The sequence below is a fragment of the Homo sapiens genome, chromosome 2 (genome assembly GCF_000001405.40).
Source record: "Homo sapiens chromosome 2, GRCh38.p14 Primary Assembly".
Classification (NCBI taxonomy): Eukaryota; Metazoa; Chordata; class Mammalia; order Primates; family Hominidae; genus Homo; species Homo sapiens.
In genome coordinates, this window is record NC_000002.12 from 215940678 (window position 1) to 215960638 (window position 19961).

Below are 19961 nucleotides of genomic sequence, written 5' to 3' on the forward strand. Positions count from 1 at the left end.
TTTGAAATGGAGATTGGCATGAAAGAAGTCTATTAGCAAATTCCTGTGGAGGAGAGAAGGAAGACAGGCTTGGGGAAAGGGAGAGATTTTACTAAGATGCAGTCACAACAAAAGCCTCAGCCAACCTAATAGGGAACTCTGGAGCAATGTAAGTGTATGTGTGTTGTGTGTGTGCGCGCGTGTGTGTGTGTCCATCATAAATATTTTCTATCTCAAGGGAATACAGTTTTTGATCTACCATTCTGATGGGTGGGGGAAGAAAACATTTGACAGATCAGTGGCCACAAACCATGTAGCTGACCTTGTCTTAGTCTATTCTAGCCAAGGTTTCACATCTGGTACAGACGCTGCAGTTACGGTTACTACTTGGCTGAGTTTTCAATAGTCCACTTTCATTCTCCAGTGTCTGGTTTTTACAGAGGTCAGAGTGGTGAATTAAATGGAATTATGATAAGGCTCAACATTCCCGCTTCCACATGGCTTTCCCTTTAAGAAAATTCTAACACACAAGCCAAGAAAGGAATGGCGGTTCTGTCAACTCCCAAGTATGTTCAGTCTGATTATTTATTCTGAAAGTAAGGAGATGACAGGGACAGGGAGTCTAAGTAGGGGGATGATTATTCTGAAAGTAGTAGTCGACAGGCAGACTACCATTGGGTAGAGCCATGAATTCAGTGGACCTAGTGTTAAGTAATACCTGGAAAAGAACTCCATTTATTACCTGAATCCCATATGCCCCTCACTCCAAAAGGTGGACTGTAGTGATACTCTGGTCCTGAAGTATCACTGTCAGCTTGGACCTTGTGTCTCAGCGCCCTCAGATTATTCATGTACTCCCCTTCCCCAGTGTACAGTTATCCAAGTAAATAACCATAGGGACATCATTGCCATACACACTTGCAGTGGTTTTACAAAGACCTTCTTGGAGACCTAGACTTTCCTTCAATCAGCAGTTTCTGCATTTGGAAAATAACAAAGGTCTGAAAATTTGGCAAAAGATTATAACCTTTTATTAAGGTGGCTGTGTCCTATCTCCTGATCACCCATCCTTGAGGTCTTTTGAAGGTATCGTTTGAGCAATACTCATTTTAGACTTATTTTGCTCCTAAAGATGGCATGTTCCATTAACTGTCTCCAAAGCTCTCTGCAGGAATCCTTCAACCTGGCCACTCATTGTGATAATTGTATCCATTTGTCTTCTGATAGTGACTCACTGCCATTGGGCCTCTGTTCTTCCATGTCCATTGCTGTCAGTGAGCTCACTTCTGTAACAGCATCTGGCCTTCAGAACTGCCACTGAGCTTCTCAGGGATGCTGGTGCCCTCTCACCAATGCATTCCTTATCCCTTTAGTACATGTGTCCTCTGTGCCTTCTTGGGTGTCCCTTTGCCTTTAAGAAAGCATAAATAATATTCTGTGCAACACATCCATGAACTGTAAAACCAGGTGTTTGATCTACTGGTTAGAGGGTTTTCTCCTGGTGCATTTTAAAATAAATATTAATATAAAAACTTCCATCCATCTACCACCCCAAATCAACCTGCATACACAGATGAGCCTTTAAGAAGTACTAAAGTAAGAATATAAAAAAAAATGAAAAAGGAGTACTAAAGTAGTCGACAGGGAGACAAAAAGTGGGAAACTCTCTGGCCTCCCACACTTCTGTGGCTACTGGTCCTGCCGAGCACACTGTGACATCTACAGTGGCCACCTGAGGCACCCCTGCGCCCCTCTCATGCACTGCCATGTCCACTGGACTTAACACACATCTAATCCTTGACTGGCTTTAGGATGATGGGAGGTCCTTAAACCCATGAGTGTTTCAGCCTCTCTGCCCTTTAATTTAAAGGGATTATGGAAAGAATATCTATCCCTTCTTATGTCAGAAATATAACACACATCCAGCTGAAAAGTAAATACAGGAGTCTTTTAATTCCTTGTAAGGAAAATTTCCTGGATAATTCCATGTATTTTAATAATCACAGAGATAGTCCTATCCTTATTCATTATCAAAAATACTGTGGTAACAATTTATAGATGCACACAATCTCATCTATTTTGACATAAAAAAGGCAGAAAGGCAAAATACAAATTCTGAGACCGAGAGTAAAACAATACGACATCCTTAGGTTTATTTATTTTATTGTTTGTTTCACTGTTTGAATGTTTATCTTGCGAGAGTCTACAGAATTGAGAGAAAATATCTGCAGGCTAATTTTACATAACATGAGGCAAAGATTAAGCACTAAATATAAAAAATAAAACTTTTAGCTTGCTTATTAAACTAGGAAGAATTTTCCTGAAACACAGCAGTTAAATTGGTCTACAATGCATTAATAAATGGAGAACACGGATCTCGCCTATGAAATATTTTAAACATTGTGGACGCTACCAAAAAGCTCATTGGTATATAAAAATTTTCAAGTCACAGTCCTCTAAGCAGACTAAATACAAGTTAGTTTTTAACCTGAATTCAGAAGTGCAAAATCTGTAAAAATAAAAATATTTCCATTTTTCTCAGCAATCTATGGATTAACCTTACAAATCCTTAAAGTCTTTTCAGTAACATGAACCATGATCTCTTGACAAGTTCCTTGCTTAAGTGGCAAGTAACTTTTGAAGCTGGACTTCTCAATCTGTAGAGAGAAGCAAGCTGCATTCACAGCATTGCTCCCTTTTGAAAATTATCTTCTGAAGAGAAGAAGGTCCAGCAAAGATCTTCAGTGCAATACTCCCTGCATATGTGCAAGTCTGCATGAGAGGTCCCCCCACAGGTGCAGCTGCCAGCCAACGAATCAGAAACAGATGAAAGAGGAGAGAAGAAAACAGAGGTCAAACACTTCAGTTTACAGATGCTATTCCAGATAAAATGCCAAGGGCTTGGCCGGGCGCGGTGACTCACGCCTGTAATCCCAGCACTTTGGGAGGCTGGGGCAGGCGGATGACGAGGTCAGGAGATCGAGACCATCGTGGCTAACATGGTGAAACCCCGTCTCTACTAAAAATACAAAAAATTAGCCAGGTGTGGTGGCACGCGCCTGTAGTTCCAGCTACTCCAGAGGCTGAGGCAGGGGAATCACTTGAAACCGGAAGGCGGAGGTTGCAGTGAGCCGAGATCGCACCACTGTACTCCAGCCTGGGCGACAGAGCGAGAGTCCATCAAAAAAAAAAAAAAAAAAAAAAAGAGCGAAAGGCTTTTGGAATAGAAATGGACAATATACAAAGATGAGAGAACCAGATATCAATAATGTTGGGAATTTAAAATGCAAGTACAACACATGAATACATAACTCTTTTTTTTTTTTTTTTTTTTTTTTTTTGAGACGGAGTCTCGCTCTGTCGCCCAGGCTGGAGTGCAATGGTGCAATCTCGGCTCACTGTAACCTCCACTGCCCGGGCTCAAGCGATTCTCCTACCTCAGCCTCCTGGGTAGCTGGGATTACAAGCGCGTGCCATCACACCTGGCTAATTTTTGTATTTTTAGTAGAGACAGGGTTTCACCATGTTGGTCAGGCTGGTCTTGAACTCCTGACCTCATGATCCACCCACCTTGGCCTCCCAAAGTGCTGGGATTACAGGCATGAGCCACCACGCCCAGCCATTCCTTGTCATTTCTATCATTTGATACATCTATACTTCTGAATAATCATAACTGATACTCAAAGAGATGCCCTGACACCCTCCAAGGTTCTACAAGGTGACCAAATCAGAGAGGTCACCTCATGCCTAGTATTATTTTGGGGTTAGCATACATTTTATAATAATTATTTTAAAACTGGCAATCCATTTTGGGACTCAATGACAGCTCTCTCTATTAATCATATTGTTTTATTAACTGAAATAGTCCACTCAGTCAGTAGGATTAATGATCAGAGATTATGACACAACTAAAACCAAAGCTGGGGCAATGGGCTCTCAGAATGGAACCACCCATTATGAACTATCCATCTGACCAACTCTTTAACTTTCTTCCTAAATATGAGATCACCAAGGCGTTTCAATGCAGCCTGCACAATTCATGGGGCAGGGTCCTCAGATTAAAGACTTTACATTTATGTAGAATTCAGTATCATTTTTCACTAAGCAAACTCTATTTGCTCACTCTCTTCTACATGTAATTGTCCAACTTTGGTTGACTGCTGAGTCCTCATGGAAGAATTCCCATTCTGCCCCTGAGCCTCTCCTTTAGGGACTTGGAAACGGAAGGTAGTGCAGTTCTTTCTGGCCATCTGCCAGGCATGGAACCCCAGGCTTCTTGGGGTAAGTTCGACGAGCAAGCTTAAAGAACTCTTCTGCAGCATCAAGTGCAATGAGACGGTCCTGCAAAAACAAACAACAAACCAAAAAACTGCTGGCAAGATAGGAACCAAGACATGTCGATGGGAAAAAGCAATCTAACAACAACAAAACCCACCCTGGAAATGACAATGAGCAAGTAAGACGTTTATTAATTTTTTCCTAACAAATGTAGAGACACGCCTTAATCCTTTAGTTACATTATCCAAGAAACATTTCCCCACTCCTTAGCGTCCTTTCTCCTTTCAGATTATTTCTTAGTCTTATAGGTTAAATAAACAATACTTCTCACATCTCTTTGACCTACAAATGGTTCAGAAAATAGACTACACAGTAGAATTCACTGAAAAATACAAACTCTTGAGCTGGAACCCAAGCCTCAGTAGGTCTACGTGTGATACAGAAATCTGAACTTTTAAAACTCTTTAGGTGATTCTGATGCTGCGGGCCACTGGGGACCACAGCATATAATGCCAGCATCTGCCACCTCATATGTGATAGTGATGGTGGTGTTGGAATACGGAGGATAGTGAATAGTTTTAAAAAGCCAAGCAATTAAAGCAAAATTAGGGCAAATGAAAAAAAGCATCCACTTACCACAACAAAGAGATATCTCTCTGAGAGCTCCCAACTTGTTGGGAAAATATTGGTTTCTTCAGCCAGTTTTAACAACATCTCTCGAGCTTTCCTTGTGTTTTTAGAATCACTGATGGTGCTGAGTTTAGTCACTGACAACAAAGAGTCAGCTTCCTTTTGAAAACCTAAGGTAGAAAAATGGACCACTCATGTAAAGTAGTCCCAAGTTAACAAGTGTTCCGCAATACGGTCCCTGCAGGAGATTACGAACAGACCCATGTGGATTCTGTACAAGCATAAAGCATCAGAAAACTGAAGCCAAAGGTACTATTCCATGTGCTGCCTCCCAGATCCATGTGATTGGCAGGATATTTAATTACAATTCTTTCGGTATTTTTTTTCTCTTTGTTAACTTTTCCCTCAGAGCCTCAGATACTCATCCACTGGTTGCTTGCCACCTTGTTTCTGGTTTGAAGCCCTCTTTCCTGTCCTCCCTACTCTTTAGCTTCTCCCCTGTCCCCAGAATTCCTACCTGCCTCCCAGCCTGCAAAGTGGTTCCCTCCAGGCTGTCCTTCTCCAAACCTGGATTTTCTTCCTCAGGGTAATATGATTAGCTGGTAAAAATCACTCACCCAAAAGTATAAAGGATTCAAAGACTTAAACCTACTTGGAGTAACTTTCATTGTTTAAAAAAAAAAAAAGGCTATTAGCTCACAACAATACTAGATATGCAAAGAGGGCAGAGATCCCATCCCATCCCATTGCATGCCAACCAAAGCCATAGAGATCGGTCACATGGCCCCCCACGCTTGAAAAGTGATGATGCCAAGATGTCATGCTCTCTTTCAAAGCAAAAGGATCAAGGACTTCAGAACTGATAAATTCACTTTTTAAACATTGAAGCAGGATTATATAATGTGGGGGCCACATTTATTGTATCACAATCCCGGGAGAATTGAGAAAAATCATTATCATTAACCATTAGTGATGAGGGCAGGTATCTACCCTAATGCCACAAGTGTTTTTCCCAACCTCGAAGCTTTTCTTCCATATTTCTTCCGAAATTCTACACTGAGTTTTGCTGTCTGTCTTGCAAACAATATTTCTCCCAACCTGCTTCATCTTACAAAGCTATGACTAATTGGCCAACACCCCATCTAATTAAATTAATGTACAATGCCAAAAAAGTAAATGTTAGTGCCCACATGACTGCACTGGCATGCGTACCCTATACTAGGGACAGATGGAGTAACACATGGCAGAGTGTGTCCTGAAGACATGGACTGGTGACAACAGAAACATCAGGCATTTATGCTTGAGGATATAAGAGCAAGATTGGGAGAATAATTAGTACACAGTAGTCTTAATTAGGCAATTATTGACATTCCTTTTATAAAAACCATGGTGGAGAAATTGAAGAATAATGATCACAACGAGTTATTTTTACCATTTCACAATCTCTTTTAGACTTACCTAAATCTTCTAAGATGCACTTCCATCTGTTTCTTACTTCCCTTCGAACCTGCCGCAGGGTATGGATATCATAGTTGAGCTTCTGCCACTCCTGCAGGAAAATAAAAGTTTAGTTTTATTTATACCCCTTGGCTTAAACCTCTATCTCATTCCCAAACTTCATGTTGCCTAAACACCTGGCTCTTCTCTTTTATTAATCTTCAAAGCAAGCCTAAAAGAAGAGAAGGAGATGGATGAGATAAAGTTGATAGGAATACTATCAGCTACCACTGCTGGAGAATCTGCTCTGCACCAGGTGATATGGCACCTTGCATAAATTATCTTACTGAAACTCTTCATATTACATATTCTCTCAATTTAGTGATCTCACCTGTAAAGTGGAGTTAACAATGATAAATATTCCATTTAAGAATGTTATAAAGATTGATGGCATACAGAAAGTACAATATCTGCACACAGTGAGCATCTAATAAAATCTATATATTATTAAAGCCATTTTATAGATACAGTAACTGAGGCCCAAAGAGCTTCCTTGGCTAATCCAATGTCATCAGCTAATAGGTATCAGAATAGATATTGGAAGCCAAGTCTGGCTCAAAAGTTCATAAGAAACAGACACACACAAAAAAATCTATGTCTCCCTTTGTAGTCAGAATAAAGTAGACCTGAAAATCCCAAGTTTCTTGATTCCTGGGCAATGTCTCCTTCACCACCATATCTCAGCAACATTCTTTTTTATTCATTTTCCTTTGATAGGATGAATCTGTCACAAATTCAACTTTATCAACTGATTAAAGTTCTTTATCAGTCCTATGTAAAGGAGGCCATCATGTTGTTCCAATACAGAACTTGAATCTTTTAGGAGCATTGGGGTCTTTATTGAGATAAGTGTGCCTTTAAAATGTCATAGAAATTTGTCTTTAAGGAGGCTTGTCACTATAGAGCAGTCATTTTATAGAGTATACCTTTTACTGTTTCTTAGCAAAGACATTAACCACACAGCTATCCTAATGCACAGCCCAAAAGAACATCATTCTAAATGCTCAATTTAGGACTCAAGTTATATGATATTTTGACTCCTCTAACTGAAAATGTTTCAATGATGCCATTATTTCTCTACTAAGTTCTGTACAAGGCTTGCCTTGTTGATTGGCAATCAACTCATGACTGTTTAAGAAAAACCAATTTAGCTGCCATTCGCAAATGTTTATAGATACCACTTGGAAAAAGAAAAGCTAGCAAAACAAACTGTGTTTTGTTACGACGGCATTTTAGATCTTGAATCTGAGGATATGCCATCAGCAGGGCATGGGCTTTCAGCTATTTTCTAGAAGTCAGGAAGTGGCAAGTTTGAACAATTTCTCCTGGTCCTCTTTTATTTTACCAAAGGCATGTTGAACGTGCATGTGCACATGTGCATGGTGATTGGGGTCAGGGACAAAATCTGTGACCTTGGAAGAGGGCAAAGTTAACTAAGTCATATAAGAAATATGCAACCCTAGCCACATCTTTAGCATCATGTTAAGGCATACCTATCTAATCCCTCACAGACTATATAAGTTGTAAGGGAAAAAACTCAAGTACTGCTGTCTTCATTGGAAGGGCCTTATTATACTTACTTGGCCACTCAGTATAGCATATTGGAAAATACTGTGGGTGCTGAGCCTGAGTGTCTGGGTTTGAATCCCAGCTCTGTTATTTACTAACAGCCTGACTTCAGGGAAGTTCTTAACCTCACTGTTCCTCAATTGCCTCATCTGCAATATGGGGATAATAAAACTACCTACCTACCTCATTGGCTTATTGTGAGGATCAAATGAGTTAATACAAGTCCTTAAAATGGAGGTTGGTCCACATGCTCCTCCAAATCAGTGTAGCACAATTAAGAAACAATCCTAGGTCAAGGACGCTGGCTCACACCTCTAATCCCAGCATTTTGGAACACAGAGGTGAGCAGATCACTTGAGGTCAGGAGTTCGATACCAGCCTGGCCAGCATGGCAAAACCCTGTCTCTACTACTACTACTACTACTACTACTACTACTACTACTACTACTACTACTACTAATAATAATAATAATAATACAAAAATTAGCTGGAGGTGGTGGCACACACCTGTAATCCCAGCTACTCAGGAGGCTGAGGCAGGAGAATCACTTCAACTCAGGAGGCAGAGGTTGCAGTGCGCAGAGATCGCACCACTGCACTTCGGCCTGGGTGAGAGTGAGACTTTGTCTTAAAAAAAAAAAAAAGAGGGCCAGGCATGCTGGCTCATGCCTATAATCCCAGCACTTTGGGAGGCTGAGGCGGGTGGATCACTTGAGGTCAGGAGTTTGAGACCAGCCTAGTCACTACGGTGAAACCCCGTCTCTACTAAAAATACAAAAAATTTGCCGGGTGTGGTGGTGTGTGCCTGTGGTCCCAGCTACTCAGGAGGCTGAGGCAGGAGAATTGCTTGAACCCGGGAGGCAGAGGTTGCAGTGAGCCGAGATCACGCCTGTGCACTCCAGCCTGGGCAACAGAGCAAGACTCTGTCTCAAAAAAAAAAAAAAAATCCTCCAGGACTCAGAATTATTTCTACTATGAGCATGGAGGCCATGATACATTACATTATGCAGTATGCAATTTGTGAGGACCTCCAGAAGAAAAATTGCTCTGCTCTAAGTACTAGATGGTTTTATCTTTCCTAAAAATTATTTCATCTTTCTGGATGTTGTAAATTTTATAACTGATCCATTTCCACTTGTGCCTGAAAATTTCAAGTCCTTTCATGAAAAAATATATACATACAGGATTTCACAAGCATTTTTGAATTACTTCAATTTCTGGCTACTTGTTATGACTTTATTCATATTTTCCTCTTTCTTTCCTGTCTTATTCTAGTTTATCTTATCTCACTATACTTTTATGTAAGTTGCCTTAACTCCTTTTAGATAAAAAGATGACAATAAAATAAACAAAATATTAGGCAGAGCTACACTGTGCTTATTCTCAGTGAAAATGACCCTGCTTTCTGGACTTCATGAAAAGTGACCAGATTGTTAGTCACACTTGATTAGAGACCCACTCAATCAATCCAAGGATGAGTTGCCTCGTATGTTCACACAACTTTAACTTATGAAACAAACCACTAGGTGGCTTCTCCAACTTGCAATTAAAGGTCTCTGACAATTTTTTTTAGCTCCTTAGGCTGATGTCTTAGGCCTTGTTCTAAATGCAGCCAAATCTCTGTTTTTCAGAGACTCATTCATCATTGGATCATCCAGGCTTTGGACTTTTAAAACATCCTTCCCTTCCTGCTGTCCATCGATTAGTCATTTTGCTATTCCTAAATATCTACAATGAATGTTATACGAATTCATTCAGTTTCAGTGTCTGTTACTCTGATAAAACATTTAATGGGGAAGCAACACATAACTAATAATCAATATGAGATTAAAGATCTGCTAAGGATGGATCCATAGTTGATGCATCTTTGGATCCCACCTTCCCCTACCATGGTTTGGGGACAGCTTGCACATGACAGGTGGTTGTTAAAATTAGTTCAATGAAACTATGGATGTCATACTTCCATATTATTACTGTCTTCTTTTGACAGAATAGTCATGAATAATTATACATGAAAGTATCTGGAAATTTTATGCAAAATTTAAAGCTCTAAAACCAGTAGAAGCATTGACAGGGTTTTAACTAAGAATAGACACTTGATTACATAATTGGTAAGAGGAGAATCTGGATTCCTCTTAAACATGTGACTCCAAAGAATTGGATCTTGATATGGTTTGGCTCTGTGTCCCCACCCAAATCTCATGTCGAATTGTAATCCCCATGTGTTGAAGGAGGGGCCTGGTGGGAGGTGACTGGATCATAGAGGTGGTTTCTAATGGTTTAGCACCATCCACCTGGTGCTGTCTCGTGATAGAGTTTTCACAAGATCTGGTTGTTTGAAAGCATGTAGCGCTTCCCCCTTCTCTCTCTCTCTCTCTGTCTCTTTCTCTCTCTCTCTCTCCTGCCACCGTGTGAAGAAGGTGCTTTCTTCCCCTTCGCCCTTTTGCCATGAGTGTAAGTTTCCTGAGGCCTCCCAGCCATGCTTCCTGTACAGCCTGTGGAACTGTGAGTCAATTAAACCTCTTTTCTTCATAAATTACCCAGCCTCAGGTGGTTCTTTATAGCAGTGTGAGAACAAGCTAATACAGATCGAAATGCAGCAAATGAAAAATAGTGATGTAAAAAATGTTATCCAATTACATCTCTCCATAACTAAAGAAACTAACTCCGCTACTCCCTGGCGTTAGAGCAAGTCTTCCGATGTCCCTCTCCAATTTTTAAATTGTAATGATTTATCTTTTAAGCTTGAAACAAATAATTTGAAAACAACAGTTAAAAGTCAATTACATATTCTTCCCAAGTGACTTCAATGCAATTCTACCAGACATCAAAAGTTAAAGTCTTATTTTCTAAAGTAATATTTTATTTGTTTTTCCTTAATTTCTGAAATAATATATTGTGGTCAATGTGATGCCGTGGCCCTGAACTTTAACAATGGGTCAATTAGCAAAGGTGTAGCAAAAGAAAACATACTGAGCTAATTTCATAAGATACCTGAGAACAAGTCAAAACTGAAATCAATAACTGAAGATGTTTATAGCTGAATTCTTGGGGTTTTTTTCCTCGTCAGTTGTTGGCCAAATCAGATTAGGGCTGCTAGATAAGAAGGTTGAGGCAACAAGATGAAAGGCAGAAAGAACTCAATGTCCTGCCACCATCAATGGCTAATTCTCCTCCAGCTTTCAATCCCCGGGAGCTGACCTTGACCTTGAGTCCTGATTTAAGCTCCTCAGATCACTTTCTCATGCATAAAACTAAAACAACATTTGATTCTTTAACCAGCATTTCCCCATTTCCCCCACCCTCTATCCCCTGGCAACGACTGTTCTACTCTGCTTCTACGGGTTTGACTTTTTTAGATTCCACATATAAGTGAGATCATGCAGTAATTGTCTCTCTGCGCTTGGCTTATTGCACTCAACACAATGACCTCTAGGTTCATCCATGTCGTCACAAGTGGCAGGATTTCCTTCTTTGTTAAGACTGAATAGCATTCCATTGCAATATATTTACCAAATTATCTTTATCCATTCATTCATCCATAAACACTTAAGTTGTTTCCATATCTTGGCTATTGTGAATCATGCTGCAATGAACATGGGGGTACAGATATACATCCCCATAGTGTATATATGGTGACTATAGTTAATAATACTGTATTGCTTACTTGGAATTCAATATGATTTTAAGTGTCGTTACTGCACACGTGAACGCGCACACACACACACAGACGGTAATGGATGTGTTAATTAATTTGACTGCGGCAATCACCACACAATGTATATGTATATCAAAGCTTCATGTTGTATATCTTGAATATATATAATTTTCACTTGTCAATTAAATATTTTAAAATTAAAACACAACATCTGATTCTCATCTGTATTACTGAGTTTGTAGATAAATGGGATTGTTTAAAAGTACTTTTTATTTCTTATAAAAAAGGGGACTTATACACTTAAAGAAATATGTTCTAACAATAATTTACATATATTTTAAACCATCTTAAACTCTTAGCAACAACTTCAAAAGAGATCAATTTATTTTTAATTATAAAAATAATATAATCACATAGAAATAAAATATCAAAGAGAACAGAAAGATACAAAATGAAAACCAGAGGTTTTCATTTTTCATTTAATCCTCTTCTTCCAGTCTAATTCCTCAGAGATAGCTATTGTTGAACATTTCCTCTTCTTTTTCTGATAGCTACTTCCATAACTCCAAGAATACGCTTATACTTCCAATTTCTCATATGTTAACTTTAAACTTCCTTGTACTCCCTCTATGAATAAAGAGTAACTTAGCTTTTCCTCTGTGCACACGTGTGCTCTCTCTTTCTCTCTCTCCCCCTCTCTCTCTCCTATCTCATTGCAAGGGAGGCTGGAAAAGTGAGGAAGCAGATTATCAATAGCACTTTGGACCAACCATGATTCATCCCTTAAGGTTGGCACCTTGCTGCCCAAACAAAAGCTGGATTCTGATGGCAAGGAAGAAACAAAGGGCATGAACACCGGGGCAGCTAATATGTTTGCCACAAGTAATATGATGTTTTCTTTGCCAACATCTGTTATCCCCTTCTCCCATCAATCTATTAAGTACACTCAGACTTTCCCTTGCAGAACAGTTATAGTCTTAGCTCTCAGAGTGGACACTGATTGGCTTATGCCAATAAACTCATTTTTGGCTGTATATTAGAATCACCCAGGGAGTGTTTTAAAATAGCCATGCATGGGATCCACTTCCCAGACCAATGACATCAGAATCCCTTGAAGGGGTTCCAGGTTTGTGATCCAATGACCTAAGCCAACTAGCATAACCTATTGGTTCAGCGATGGGCACATTACCCAACTCAAGCCAAAAGAGAGGCAGTGAAATCCATGAAGCTTCTGGAGCAATCAGGAATGGTGTTTTCTCTTCTCCTGCACAATGTGATATGAAGGTGCAAAATCTGGAAATGCTCTCATCACTTTGACTAGCCTGAGAAGAGCCAGATTAAGCAATAAGTAACAGAGAACAAAGTTGAAAGAATCACAGAGATATAGAGCCTATGGATATCCTGAGACTCTGGGTCAATTCTCATCTGAAGTCAGACCTACTTCAGGAACTCTGTTGTCTTAGCCAATTCCATTTGGGTTTAAACAACTGGAGTTCTTTTTCTGGCCCTTGCATTGGAAACACTCATGTTGTAAAGCCCACTCATTGAGTATATAAAGGACAATATAGATACCACACAAAATATTAGTTTCATATTTTCCCACCCTTGCCTCCAGGAAAAATTTTCAGTGCATAGATTTATCTAGCAGGGAATAGATAGGGCTTACAGTGGATGCAGTGTTAATGGCTCTGCCCAGATCCCAATCTTTCTGTCCCAGAAGTGTCTTAGGCAATGACACAGATATAACAGCAGCCCTTGTCTGTAGCCAGGGCTTACTTTATGGTGCCTCCCCTGAATTCTGTCCAGCAGAGCAAAGCCTCTGACTCTCATGAGATGTTGCTATAACAAAGGAAAGAGGTGGCTTACATCTAATTGGCTAATTTCTTCCAAAGATCCAAGCAAGAAGTGTCTAACTATGATTGGCTTAACCATTCAACTCTCTTATGAAGACAGGTTGAATCCTTTTGGCTGGATCTAATGACCAGTTCAAAGTTCACTTTTGATTAAAAACTTTGAGCTAAAATCTTTTCACAATCTGAAGACCAACCATTAAGATGACCTTGTCTTTTGTCTTTCTTGGATGGTGAAAAACCATCTTCAGAGGAAGATGTTCATACTCAGGCTAAAATGATCCTTATTGTATTTGATCTGTGTACAACACACACACACACACACACACACACACACACACACACAAAACAACCAGAAGAGTATTGCTCAAATGTTATAGATGACACTCTGGTGAAGTTATGTAACTTGCCCCATGCCCAACCGCAAACAGCAGCTAAGCCAGAACTCAAATCTAAGTGCATCGAATTCCAAAGCCCACAGACTCTATAAAAAAGAAGAAACAGAAAAGAATGACTATTGTTGTTTCCTCAAATTATGCTTCTTTTTTCTTATGCATTCACTATTTTATTTTTTTTTTTTTAGAGAAGGAGTTTCACTCTTGTTGCCCAGGCTGGGGTGCAATGGCACGATCTCTGCTCACTGCAACCTCCGCCTCCCGGGTTCAAGCAATTCTCCTGCCTCAGCCTCCTGAGTAGCTGGGATTACAGGCACGCACCACAATGCCCAGCTAATTTTGTATTTTTAGTAGAGATGCAGTCTCATCATGTTGGTCAGGCTGGTCTCGAACGCCTGACCTCAGGTGATCCGCCCACCTTGGCCTCCCCAAGTTCTAGGATTACAGGCGTGAGCCACCTCACCTGGCCACATTCATTATTTGTTAAGGTAATACATTTATATGATTCAAAAAGTACTAAAGGCTCTGTCCCCCAGTCACTAGTGTTCTCTCCACAGGTAATTAATGTTACCAATTTTATCAGCATTTTCCCTATAAACAGTAGCATATTATACCTTGCACTTTTCACTTAATAATATGTTTTAGCAATCAGCCTGTGTCAAAAATGTAAGATTTGGGCTCTTTGACTTTTTTACCATTTAGTATAGACAGAAATGGAATAATAAACATATTTGTTTTGTAGAAAATGCCCCCCCATATTACAATATATTCCTGCATGTGCCTTAAAACTTGAACATTCCTTAAGATTTTTCGCTTCCTAGTCATTCTTTCCAATATCACTGTTGAAAAGCATTAAGCTCCCACGTGGATTCATGCACTATATACCACCCTTTGGGAATTTTCATTTCAACTCAAACAGCAAACTAAAAGAATATGCCATGCTGCTAGGACAATGACAACACTGCATTACAAAAATTAAATACATCTAAATCACAGACTAAAAATTAGAGTAGTTAAATACTTTTCCTTGGAAGTGGCAGCTTCTTGGCAAAATGAATTCTTTGAATACGATGACTGTTGTCTCTTTCCTTTCAGTTCGCACCAATTGACATCATCTTATGCTGCTTCTACTTAAAATGAAGAGGGATTATCTAAAAGATAGAAAAAAATGTATTGACTGCTTCTCCAGTTTAGTTTTCTGTCATTTTGTAGGTAGTAGGAAATATCAGATAAGGTGGAGAAAGACATATAATACACGGTGGGAATCTGGATTATCACCAGCATCTAAGAAATCCTCTCACGTTTGTCTTTCACAGAGAAATGTGAAATAGATAATACAGACTAGGATAGTTCTGCCGCTACTGAAGAGTACACAGAACTGTTGATGTCAGTCTGGAGAAAGGTCTCCAGTAATGCACCGTGGGGCTCAATTTTGGAGCTGATTTTTATCAGTGACTCGATGAAGTCAAAGATCACAAAAGTAGAAAGGATTACTAGTACATGGAATCATAATGTCAAACGTATAACAAATAAAGCCTGTGAGGTACAATATAAAGGCCAAAATTTATTAGGAATAAATAAAAATACATCCTACTTTTAGGTCGAAAAAAATCAACACAGCCAAAGCAGCAGATCCAGGGATCAGCCTACACAGCAGTTCATGTGAAAGAAAGGCTGAGGCCTTGGAAAACCAAATGTTCCAAATCTACCCAAAATGTGGCATTCCTGAGGATTAACTGAGTTAATATATGTAAAGAGATAAGAGTGGTACCTAGAAAATAGTAAATACTCTGTAAATATTACATCTATCTATCTATCTACCTACCTACCTTCCTACCTACCTATCTAATCTATCAATGATCTATCTGCCCTTTTTTGCAGATGCCTTTAAATCCTTTTTGGGTTTTGTCAGGTAGGTGATACAGAAAATAATATATATATCAAAAGAGCCTGTAGAAATTAAATTTCTAGAAATTAAAAATTTTATAGTACATTTCTTTTGGTGTTGTTTGTTGTTGTTTTTGAGATAGTATCTCACTCTGTTGCCCAGGCTGGAGTGCAGTGGCATGATCATGGCTCACTGCAGCCTCGACCTCCCAAACTCAAGCAATCCTCCTGCTTCAGCCTCCCGAGTTGTTAGGACTACAGGTGTGCATCACCACATCCAGCTAATTTTGTTTATTTTTTGTAGAGATGAGGTCTCACTATGTTACCCAGGCTAGTCTCAAACTCCTGGGATCAAGTGATCCTCCCGCCTTGGCCTCCCAAAGTGTTGGGATTACAGGGATGAGCCACCATACATGGTCTAAAAATCATACAGTGTGTTTCTGTATAAAGTATAGAAATTATACTTCAGTGTTCCAGTTGGGGAGGGCTGTGTTACCCTATGAGACGGATACCCTTATAATCCATCTTAAGATGAGGAAACTGAGACTGAAGTAACTTCCCCAAGCACACACAGCAGGTAAGTGAAAAGCTGGGATTTGAAACCCAGACAGTCTGGTTGTGCGGCTGACACATTGAGCCACCATCCACACTGCCTGTTAGAACAGGACGGGAGAGGGTGGGCAAGGGAGGAAGGAAGGAAAAAAAGTAGAAAAAATAGAGAAAAAGCAACCCATTCAAGAAAAGACCAACCTGAAGCCACAGCAGCTATGCCTGAGGAGGAACTAGGAAAACACAATTGAAATCTGGGGAGAAAACAGAACTTTTCTAGAAGCAGAGGATTCCCCACATCCAGCACAGGATGCTGCCAAACCCAAAGATGTTCTTTTTCCGAAGGGTGGATTCACAGGACACACCACCTTGGTGCTTCCTCTGGGTACTTCAGTGCTCCTCTTCCTCCTCAGAGCCAGTGGCAGGACCCTCCAGCCCCTCCTACTTTTCCCATCCCTCCCTCCCCCACACTCTCCTCTCCACTTTGTCCCCACTTCATCTCTCAAGGAGTTTGACGAAGGTAAACCATTCCCCTCAAGAGGAAGAAAGAGAGGAGGCGGGCAGGAGCCACAGAGGTCTGAGATTCTAAGGACTGAGGAGAGAAGGTAAATATTTGGGGCTGAGCTGTGCTTGTCTGCAGCAGGGAGGGCTGTGAGACTCCCTGATACTTTTCTGAAAGGAGGTTTCAGGCTTCCGGACTGAGAAATCCCCAGGAAGACTTACCTAAGGTACCTCCTTGGCTCTTCCCACTTCCTTCCCCCAGCTCTCATCTCAAAAGGAAGCCTCTCCTTGGAAACTTCCCTGGACAGCGTGCCCCCTTCTTCCCCCATGCTTGTGAGATTACAGCTTTAAAACTATTCACAATAGCAAAGACTTGGAACCAACCCAAATGTCCAACAATGATAGACTGGATTAAGAAAATGTGGCATATATACACCATGGAATACTACGCAGCCATAAAAAATGATGAGCTCATGTCCTTTGTAGGGACATGGCTGAAGCTGGAAACCATCATTCTCAGCAAACTATCGCAAGGACAAAAAACCAAACACCGCACGTTCTCACTCGTAGGTGGGAAATGAACAATGAGAACACATGGACACAGGAAGGGGGACATCACACACCGGGGACTGTTGTGGGGTGGAGGGAGGGGGGAGGGATAGCATTAGGAGATATACCTAATGCTAAATGACAAGTTAATGGGTGCAGCACACCAACATGGCACATGTATACATATGTAACAAACCTGCACGTTGTGCACATGTACCCTAAAACTTAAAGTATAATAATAATAAAATAAAAATAAATAAATAAATAAATAAATAAATAAAATAAAAGAACTCCTGATTCAGAACCCAGCCAAGTCCTCTTCAGAGTTCGTGCAGCAAACCAGTTTCACTCACTCACATGATGGGCCTCTTCCTCCCAGAGTTAATTAGCTGCACATTTTAACAAACATCCAAATGTATGACTGTATTTGCCAAACCCAAGAGAAAAAGGATTCTGCAAGAAACGAGCTCACGTCTCTTCATAGGGCAGCTGGCTGCACTGATGCAAGCAGCCACAGCGCTCTGCCCTTAATGAACTCCTTGACCTCCTCAAGCTCCAGTTCATTCTGCATCCCTCCCTTCACTGACAAATGGCTTAGACTGGGAGCCTCCATTGCTCTTCTCACTTCCTCCTATCCCCTGATCACCAGCCCCCAGCAATCTGCCTTCTTCAGGCCTGCTCTCTAGGGAAAGGGCTAAGGTATTAATACTTCCTCCCCATCCCACTAGTGACCTGATTTAGGGGAGTCTTATAGTCCTTTCCAAAGATCCTCACCGCCTCTAAAGCATTTAATCCTGATGGCCATACCCTTCTTAACATGCTTTCTAGGTTTCTATGGGAAAGGGAAAAGGAGATGAGCATTTATTAAGTGCCCACTGAGTGCCATGGGTAGTAAGTCCCCCACCACCCTGTGAGGTGGGTATTAGTATCCCTATTCTGGGGAGGAAAGCAACAATATCCTGCCTAGAGTCTAAGTCAAGAGGAGCTCTGGGATTCAGGATCTGCTGCCTCTAAAGCACATCCTCCAGCTGATCCCCCTCACTCTCAGCTCTCTTCCCTCTGCTGGTTCCTCTTCCTTCATCTCTTCCTTTGCAGTCCTTTCCTAAGTCTCTGTCTTAGGTCTTTTTCTCACCTCTATCTCCCTAGATAATTTCCCCTAATGCCTCAATTTCTCTTGTCATTACTTCTCTCTAGTGACTCCTAAGTCTCTTACTTTAGTCGTCACCTCAAGCCTTGGCTCCAGGTCTCAGTTTCCACCTTTCTGCTGGATGTGTCCAAGTGGACGGGCTGCTGACATGTGGATGAGCCCAATCAGACTCCATCATCCTAAGTCACCCTTCCACCTTATGTTCCCAACTTTGTCAACTGCTGCTCACTCCCTTAATCCCATCTTCCAAATCTAAGCCAGCCACCTCAGCTTGTTGATTTTCCCTCTGCACAAGATTCTTACTCTTTTCTGCCTTAATTGGCCTGAATGCCTGCAGAAACTTGTTCCTCTGCTTCCACAAGCTAAATTCTCCAATCTTCTCCCAACCTGCTGTCTTCCAAAGATGAGATTGGGTCACTTCCCTCCCTGAAAACTTCAGTTGTTCCATACCGCTTACTGAATACAGTTTCAATCCCAAGAAGGTTACCCATGATCTGACCTTTCTGGTCTTGTTCCCAATGACAGCCCTCCACACAGAGTCTGCCTCTGACACTTGGGAACACCACTCTATCCTCCGGCACACCTTGAATGAACCTGCATGCCTCGACCATGTTCATTCATGGCCTCCTTCCTCTGTGATCTAAATCCTACTCACCCTTCAAGGCTCAGCTCAAATGCCACCACCTCTGAGAAGTCTGCTGTTCTTACCAATTGAAAGTAAACTGCTGCTTCCTTTGAACTTCCTCAGTTCCTTTACGAAAATTGTTGTAGAGTTACTGACTGTATAGATACTCCTTTTTTTTTTTTGAGACGGAGTCTCGCTCTGTCGCACAGGCTGGAGTGCAGTGGCGTGATCTCGGCTCACTGCAAGCTCTGCTTCCTGGGTTCATGCTGTTCTCCTGCCTCAGCCTCCCGAGTAGTTGGGACTACAGGTGCATGCCACCATGCCCAGCTAATTTTTTGTATTTTTAGTAGAGATGTGGTTTCACCATGTTAGCCAGGATGATCTCGAACTCCTGACCTCACGATCCGCCCGCCTTGGCCTCCCAAAGTGCTGGGATTACAGGCGTAAGCCACCGTGCCCAGCCAAGATACTCTTATACAATAGGTATCTATAATGTCTCCTTTATCACCAGAGTATAGGCTACCTGACCACAAGAACCGGGATTCGCCCAGGTCCTAACCAGTGCTTTGTACACAGCAGGTCCTCCAGTGGGGCTGCTGAACTGCACTGCACATGATGATGCATGTAAAAGCCAAGTTCTGGCTGTGCTCGAGTGCCTATTGTGAATATAGAAAGCTGCACTAAATTTTACTGGAAAAAGCCACTTGGGCTATAATCCATGTGAATTCTGAACAAGGCAGGTTTATATAATTAAGATATTTGGGCTGGGCACGGTGGCTCATGCCTGTAATCCCAGCACTTTGGGAGGCTGAGGCGGGCGGATCACAAGGTCAGGAGATCGAGACCA

At 41.1% G+C, this 19961-nt stretch overlaps 1 protein-coding gene across 9 annotated transcripts in view; it reads right to left on the reverse strand.

The window, feature by feature from the left end:
- Nucleotides 1-19961, reverse strand: part of MREG (melanoregulin) — a 94789-nt gene that overhangs the window by 1370 nt on the left and 73458 nt on the right. For 4 of the 9 annotated variants that reach the window (NM_001372189.1, NM_001372190.1, NM_018000.3 and 1 more), the window contains 3 exons: nt 6346-6436; nt 4894-5057; nt 1907-4320 (listed from right to left, as the gene is read on the reverse strand). In NM_001372189.1, coding sequence (NP_001359118.1) covers nt 4186-4320; nt 4894-5057; nt 6346-6436 — 390 coding nt within the window. In that variant the 3' untranslated portion in view covers nt 1907-4185. Of the gene's footprint in view, nt 1-987; nt 1391-1906; nt 4321-4893; nt 5058-6345; nt 6437-19961 lie in introns of those variants that run through there. The other 5 variants (XR_007078319.1, XR_001738842.2, XR_001738843.2 and 2 more) reach the window with 4 other exon arrangements.